At 49.6% G+C, this 8,559-nt stretch overlaps 1 long non-coding RNA gene across 1 annotated transcript; it reads left to right on the plus strand.

The window, feature by feature from the left end:
• Positions 1–1,126: 1,126 nt before the first annotated feature.
• LOC124909386 (uncharacterized) lies at positions 1,127–5,516 on the plus strand. Its single transcript, XR_007095929.1, has 2 exons — positions 1,127–4,089; positions 4,769–5,516. It is a non-coding gene; the product is annotated as an uncharacterized LOC124909386 (long non-coding RNA).
• The last annotated feature ends 3,043 nt before the right edge of the window (positions 5,517–8,559 follow it).

The raw sequence follows: 8,559 nt of genomic DNA on the forward strand, positions 1-8,559 counted from the left end.
CAAGAGTTTGAGGCTGCAGTGAGCAAAGATTGTGCCACTGCACTCCACCTTGGGCAACAGAGCAAGACCTTGTATCAAAAAAGGAAGAAGAAAAGAAGGAGAAGGAGAAAGAGAGGAAGAAGAAGAAGAGGAAGAGGAAGAGGAATAAGAAAAAGAAGAAGAGGAAGAAAAAGAAGGGGAGGAGGAGGAAGGGGAGGGGGAGGGGAGGGGAGGAGGGAGGAGGGTGGAAGGAGGAGGGGAAGGAGAAAGAAGAGAAGAAGGAGAAGGAGGACAGAAGGAGGAGAAGAAGAGGAAGAAGGAGGAGGAGGAGAAGAGGCTGCTCTGGTAAACCTGGTGGTCAGGAAAGGCCTGCTGGGAGGGAGCATTTGAGCAGAGTCCTAGGTATTACAGTATCTACTCCACAGGACTCATCCACAGAGCAGGTCTCAGCTGAGGCGCCACACAGCAACCTCCCAGTCCCCTCCTGCTCTGGCACATGCGTCTGTGTCCACTGCCTTTGAAGCCAGTGCCAGTTATAGGGTTGCCAGATCTAGCAAATAAAAATGCAGGATGCCCAGTTACCTTTGAATTTCAGATAACAAATAATTTTTTAGTGTACATATTTCCCAGATACCTAAACAACAATTTGTTGTTTATCTGAAATTCAAAGGTAACTGGGCATCCTGAATTCCATCCTGGCAACCCAATCATTGAGGTGCCGGTTCCCATGCCAGGGGGGCTGGGACTGCAGGTGCACACCACCATGCCCAGCTAATTTTTGTATTTTTTGTAGTGATGGGGTTTCGCCCATGTTGCCCAGGCTGGTCTCAAGCTCCTGGCCAAGAGATCCGCCCAACTCAGCCTCCCAAAATGCTGGGATTACAGGTATGAGCCAATGTGCCTGGCCTAGATGACAGACTTTTTTTATTTTTTTTTTTTTGAGACAGAGTCTCACTCTGTCACCCAGGCTGGAGTGCAGGGGTGCAATCTCGGATCCCCGCAACCTCTGCCTCCTGGGTCCAAGCGATTCTCCTGCCTCAGCCTCCCAAGTAGCTGGGATTACAGGCACCTGCCACCACACCCAGCTAATTTTTGTATTTTTAGTAGAGACAGGGTTTTGCCACATCGGCCAGGCTGGTCTCGAACTCCTGACCTCAGGAGATCCTTGGCCTCCCAAAGTGTTGGGATTACAGGTGTGAGCCACTGCGCCTGATGAGAGACTTACTATTGACCACTTCCCTTTCCCCACCACAGTTACAAACAGGGGCAGTGACATTCCAGTGGCTGCAAAAAGACACAGGGAAGAGGGGTTAAAGGCATAATCTGGACCCCAGCTAGGTCAGCCAAAAATGCCCTTTTACACATGTAAAGCACAGTCTAGGGCCTGGCATGAAGTAAGTGTTCAAACAAATGGTAGCTGGTATTATTAGCACTGTAGTTGGTGGTGGTGGTGACTCAACAGGCAGGATTTGCAGCCTATGGGCATGTGGGGAGCTAGTTCAGCCTTGAGTAGCCCCCACGTGCCTCCTGTGGAGCACTGGTATGGGTGGGGTATCCAGGGACAACAGGAGAAATGGGATGTGGGGTAAGTGAGCTTGGGGTGGGGTAGAGTCAGAATAGTTAATTGGAATTGCCCCCCTATCAGGACAGATCCTGGTGGTGCTGCCAAGGTGGGGTGTCAAGGTCTCCGTGCGATGTCAGGCATTACCCTTTGGTTATGAGGTCATAGGAGGGTCTGAGGGTCCTAAGGTAGGAAGGCATGGCTGGTCCTAGGTGGTACAGAAATGTTGCACTTTTTTAACAACTGAAGCAGCTATAGTAGTGTGTCCCTGCTGGCCCTCGGCCCTGTGGGTTGGGGAAATGTGGCAGGAGGAAGGTGACCCTCACTCTCCCCAGCCTCTGCTGTGTTGCAGGGGACGCTATGAAGCACATCAAGGTTCCAACTTATGCCAAGGTCCAGTCCATCACAAAGGTGTTTTACACCCAAAGTGGCATCTGCCATTTCCCACGGCAAACAGACCAGCTCACGTGAGTCCACATGGGGAAAGGTCCCCAGAGCTGCTCCTATCCTATGCCTATGGCCCATCTGGACCCTCCGGCCAGACTCACCCTTGCTCTGCAGCTGTCGAGCCCCCGCCGCCTTGCTGTGCATGGGTAGGCATGAGAGTGACTAAGGCGGGGTCTGGACCAATCGGTGGCCCTCCCTCCCGGCTGTCTGCCTCCAAGGACCTCAGCTCCTTGTAGGGCTGCCTCCGCCCCTGCCGTCATTGGCAAGGCGTGGACATGGGGGCTGCTTTCCTGGGGGGAAACAGTGGGGTTTCCAAGTGCTCCCTCAGCAGACCCGGCGCAGGAGAGGGCTCGCTAAATCCTTAAGGTGCTAAAGGGAGAGAATATCTCCCTGCTTTTTATTTCTCTACATTCTGTTGAAGGGATCCATAGCTGGGTTGCTTAGTGCCAATTTACCCCATAGTTTAGGGAAGAAGTAGTTTACGTTTTTGCTTACCGCTTCTCTCATCCCTCAGAACCTGTGTTAGTCAGGGTTGCCTCACTGCTAAAACAAACAGCCCCTAAGTCCCAGTTGCTTAAACCAATAAAGACGTCTTTCCTACATGGCCGTCCAATCTGATGTTGGGCAGGTGACCTTCCACCTGCTGATCCGGGGACCCAGGCTTCTCCCACCTGGTAGCTCTGCCATCCCCTAGGGCCTCACAGCCCTCCTCTGAGTCCTCTACATCCAGCCAGGGAAAGGGGAGAGAGACTGAGCATGGAGAGAATACACCTGCTCTGAACCGCCTTGGCCTGGAGCTAAGCGGTGTCACTTCCTCTCCCATTCCACTGGTGAGAACAAGTCACATGACTCCTAGATGTGAGAGGGCTGGGTTGATTCATGGAGCCATGCGCTCAGCAGGAAGAGGAGGAAGGGTACCACAGTGGCCTACATGTCTTGTGCAGCCACCATGCTAAATTCGAAGCTCCTTCCGGTATCAGTTTCTTAGGGTTGCCATAATAAAGTACCCCAAACTCAGTGGCTTAACACAACAGAAATTGGCGATCTCACATTTTTGGAGGCTGGAAGTCAGATCAAGCTGTGGGCAGGGTCAAGCTTTCTCTGAAACCTATAGGGACAAACACTTTCTTGCCCTTCCTGGCTTCTGGTGGCCACCAGCATCCTTGGCCTTCCTCAGCTTCCAGCTGCAGCACTCCAGGCTCTGCGTTCCTCGTCACGTGGCTGTCTACCTGTGTGTCACTCTGGCTTCCCATGACTGTCTCCTTAGAAGGGCATCAATCGTATTGGATTAGGGGCCCACGCCTCCAGTATGTCCTCATCTTAACGAATTACATTTGCAGTGGTCCTATTGCCAAATGAGGTGGCACTGGCAGTTAGAACTTGGAAAAAAAAAAACTTAAATATTTTTGGGCCAGGCGCAGTGGCTCACGCCTGTAATCCCAGCACTTTGGGAGGCCGACGTGGGCAGATCACCTGAAGTCAGGAGTTGGAGACCATCCTGGCCAACATGGTGAAACCCTGTCTCTACTAAAAATACAAAAATTAGCCGGGCGTGATGGCGGGTGCCTGTAATCCCAGCTACTCGGGAGGCTGAGGCAGGAGAATCGCTTGAACCTGGGAGGCTGAGGCAGGAGAATCGCTTGAACCTGGGAGGCTGAGGCAGGAGAATCGCTTGAACCTGGGAGGCTGAGGCAGGAGAATCGCTTGAACCTGGGAGGCTGAGGCAGGAGAATCGCTTGAACCTGGGAAGCTGAGGCAGGCGAATCGCTTGAACCTGGGAGGCTGAGGCAGGAGAATCGCTTGAACCTGGGAGGCAGAGGTTATGGTGAGCCGAGATCGCACCGCTGCACTTCAGCCTGGGTGACAGAGCAAGACTCTGTCTCAAAAATAAATAAATAAATAGTCTTTTGGGAGGAACAATTCATTCCATACCACCTCCCTTCTGACAGCTAAACCTTGGTTACTCATATTATCTTGATGGGCCTCCCTCCTTCTCTCGGAAACAGTTCTCTTGCAGAATCCCAGACATGTCGAATGATTGTCCGTGGACCCATCTGATGTTGGTGCTCACAGAATCTGATTGCTTAGAAGGCCTCGGGCAGGTGGGGAATTCAAATAAACATCCCTGCATACAGCTCTTTCAAAACTAAAATGCTCATGGGCAGGTCTTGTTCAACCAGGATATTGTGGTACACTTCCCTCCTTACTTGGACAAAAGGGCAGTTCCTCATGCTGGACAGAGAAAGCACTGGGCAAACGAATCACTATTCCCTGGTCTCTGGTGGTCTGTCTCTTAGCCTGAACTGTCAGAGAGGAGCTAGACCACTTAAAACTGCGAATGCAACTATCTTGTCTGGTTTTCCCTGGGCAGTCTTGGGAATGTGAGTGAGCATCAATGTGGGAATGGATTCCCTTGAGATGCACACAGCAGCCTTGCACAACAGAGCTGCTGGAAAAACACCTGCCAGGTTGAATCAAACACCAAATGACCCCCGGGTTCTCTAGAGTTACTTGATTGAATGCAACAAATATTGATCCAGCAGCTCCTGTGGGCCGGGCCTAGGCTGAGCTCCCGGGGAATGAGGGGTCAGATCTTGGAGCTCACAGGACATAGTGAAAAGGGCTGTATGGGGGACAGTGGACACCTTTGGTGCACAGAGGAGCCTTCCTGAGGGAGGCCATTGTCATTTCTGTCATTGAAACAATGCTCAGAAAGACCTTAGCACAGTGCCTGGCTCTATACATGTGATTTATATTAATAATAATTATCTCCATCAGCAGCAAGTCTTCAAGCTCCTTAGAAAAGGAATGGCTGCAGCATTTCTCAACTGGGATTCTGTGAATAAATGAAACCCTACAGAAAATGACACCAGTGACTTTTCTCAGTCCTCCCAGGAATGACACCATTCTACAGGCATGGGAAAGAAGTTGATTCATTACAAACAGGGGCTGTCCCCGAATGTTAGGGCTTAATTCTTTCTGGAAGTCAGTTAAGAAAGGCTGGTGGGGAGTTTATTTAGGTATTTAATGAATACCTGTTTGATATCTGCGGGCATTGTTCTAAGCCCTACACTGTCCAGTTCGGTAGTCATGATCCAACCACATGTCCATTGAGCATTTGCAATGAGTCTTATCCAAATTGTGATGTACTCTAAGTATAAAACACACACTGAATTTCAAAGATTTAGTATAATGAAATGTAAAATTTCTCATTAATAATTTTTATATTGAATTTTATGTTGAAATGACCATACTTGGATAGATTGGGCTAAATCAGAGGTTGACAAACTTTCCCTCTGAAAGACTGGATAGTAAGAATTTTCAGCTTTGTGGATCACCTGGTCTCAACTATGCAACTACTCAACTCTGCCATTGCAGTGCAAAATCAGCCATAGACAATATAAAAACAAATGGGCATGGCTTGTTCCAATAAAACTTTATTTAAAAAAAACAGATGGTGGGCCAGATTTCCCCCACAGGCTGTATAGTTTGCTGATTTCTGTGTTAAATAAAATATTAAATATATTAATTTCACTTATTTCCTTTACTTCTTAAAATATGGCTACCAGAAAATTTCAAATTACATTTTGGCTTATATTATATTCCTATTGGACCAGACTGGTCTAAGAACTTTACAAATATTAACTCTGGGGGATGATGCTTTTACCCTGGCAGAGGGGTGTGTGTGTGTGTGTGTGTGTGTGTGTGTGTGTGTGTGTGTGTAGGCTGAGATGTGTGAATTCCAACGACAGCCTCAAGTGAGTGTGGAGTTGGCTCCCTGGCCTGGCTTCACCACTGCTGAGTGTGGAGCCCAAGTGCAGACTGGCTTGTGGAGGTTTCCTGCGGGTATCTGGAACTGTCTGAGCCCTTTCTCTTTCTAGGTTCACCTCTGGACTAAAGGTAAGTTCCCCAAAAGGCCACCGGGTGGTGATGTCGGACCACAAGCCATGGTGGTTGGCTCACTGGAAACCTGAGCTCTCCACCTGGCTCTGCCATTCGCTGTGTGGCCTTGGACCTCAGTTTCCTCACCTGTAAACAGGATTAGACTAGACTGAAGAGAGCACGAACTTTGAAGGCAGGCAGACCGGGATTTTAATTCTGCCTCCCCCAGGGCCCCATTGTGGCTTTCACGGGCATTAGGCACCTTTGCCTTTATAGATCCTTTCCCCCATAAAAAATATTAAAATTGTATTTTACAACTATATTGGTATAAAGACAAACATGTTATTATTATTATGTTAATTTTTTCTTCATCCCCAAAGTTCATGTTTTTCTTTCTGATTCTGAAAGAAATTAACACATTTCCATGGGCCCTAGGCACAGTGCTGTGCCTAATGGGTGAGTCACCTGGGTTCAATACTCCCCAGCTGTGTGCCCTCGGGCAAGTTGTTTAACTTCTCTGGGCCTCACTCGCCTCGCCTATAAAATGGAGATGACATCAGACTCCACCTCGCTGCTGCGGTTGGAATTCAGTGAGATGGCCCACGCCACTGCCTCTTAGCACACAGCCTGGCACACAGCAGCCCTTAGCAAATGGCAGCCATTACTTATTATTACCTTTAAGGATATTTTCAGCTCTAGCCTCTAGGAAACTGTGAAAAGATCTCAGGAGCGGGAATCTCAAAGTAATGATAACTCGGAAAAATAAAACTCCCAGGGTATTTGGTGGTAGAGTTTCCCAGAGCATAGAGGGGCAGCAGGAGGAGTTTCTGTAAATGACCAACCTCCTCCCACCTGCCATCGGAAGACGCATTTGAGGCAGGGACATGGGCTGGTATGACCCAGCCAGAAGCTGAGCAGGCCGAGGAATATGTGCCAGGCAGGGAGACCCCTGGGAAAGAGCTGAGTGCGTGTGTATGTGCACGTACACACACACACAAACCTGCATCCATAGATTCTTGTTTCCTCAAATTCCCTTATTTTGATTTAATTTTAGTAGCTTCCCTGAATCCCAAAGATTGACGCCACTGTTGCCAGGGTCTTGGGGACCGTGGGGACCCGCTCCTCCTTTGAAATATGGCCCATGGGCAAGTGACATGGGGATGCTGGCTCCTTCAGGATCATTCAGGTGGAAGCCCGCCCTGATCAGGAGACTCAGCAGCTGATGCAAATGTGAGCCTCTCTCAGCTGCCCTGCTTTCCACCCTCACGCCTGCCTGGGCTGGGTGCCTTTCCTCTTTCCGGGAGGGACGAGGGATGTGGCCCCCAGTTTGTCGCCCTTTCCTGGTTTGGCAACTACTCTTTATACTTGCCCTCTCCAGCCCAAGGGAGAGATAGGAGCAGGGTTGCTGAATTGCAGAAGCTCCCTTCACCCACCCCACCCCCAGCAGGGTCAGGGAGAAGGTCACTGGGGGAGGGTTTCTGTATTTGTGGCAGGAAAGTGGTGTTGACAAGGAAAAGGATGTCACAAGGACTGGAAGCAGGGGCGTCTCCATCCTCAGGGTTACCTGCCAAAATATTTGCCGTGGTGAATGACAAAGAAATGGAACCCTGGCATGATTCCTTGTGTGGCAAAAATTCATTCTGAATAACTAAGCTCGAGCAACCTGCACACCCAGACTTAAAGCGGCCTACCCTTTAACAGAGCAAGCCCTGTTAATACAAATATACAAGTAAGGGAATTTAATTTATCGAGGGCTTACTAAGCATCAGGCACATCCTCCATGCCTTATATCCATCATCTTATTTAAACTTTACCTATGAGGTTGATTCTCTTATTATCTCTGTTTTACACACAAGGAAACTAAAGGTAAGTAGCCTGCTCGAGGTCCCACAGCTGGTAGGTGGTAGAGACTATGGCTCCAAAGTGAGCCTGGTCCTTGCTACCATGCTACACCTCGCCTCACCAAGGGGGACTGGGAGAGTGATTTCAAATCTGGGCCTCAGATCATGTGCCTTGGAATCAACCGGGGGACTTGTTGAAATTGCAGGTTCCTGGGCCCTGGCCCAGACTCTGGGAGACTGGGACCTGGGAATCACCATGGTAACTGGTTCCCTGGGATTCCAGTGCACACCAAGGTTTAGACTCTTTTTTGTTCGTTTGTTTTTTTTGTTTTGTTTTTGAGAAAAGGTCTTGCTCTGTTTCCCAAGCTGGAGTGCCATGGTACGATCACAGCTCACTGCAGCCTTGACTTTCCAGGCTCAAGTGATTCTCCTGCCTCAGCCTTCTGAGTAGCTGGGACTACAGGCATGCACCACCATGCACAGCTAATTTTTTTATTTTTTGTTCAGATGGGGTCTTGCTATGTTACCCAGGCTGGTCTCAAACTCCTGGGTTCAAGTGATCCTCCCATCTCAGCCTCTCAAAATGCTGGGATTACAGGCGTCAGCCACCGCACCCAGCCAAGCTTTAGACTCTTTGGACAAAGCCAAGGCTAAAAGGGTGCCTATGACCAGGGGACACCCATTTTCCCCAAAAGGCCACCAGAGTTCCTTGCCCAGGCCAGGCCAGGTGACCCAAAGGGACAGGAGGATGTTTGCAGCTCCATTAGGTTATGCGCAGTGAGACATGCCCTGCGCTGTGCCCTCTTGCCTGTCAGAATTTGGCCGGAATAAGAGCTGGCAGATGCCTGT

This window comes from Homo sapiens, chromosome 3 (genome assembly GCF_000001405.40).
Source record: "Homo sapiens chromosome 3, GRCh38.p14 Primary Assembly".
NCBI lineage: Eukaryota > Metazoa > Chordata > Mammalia > Primates > Hominidae > Homo > Homo sapiens.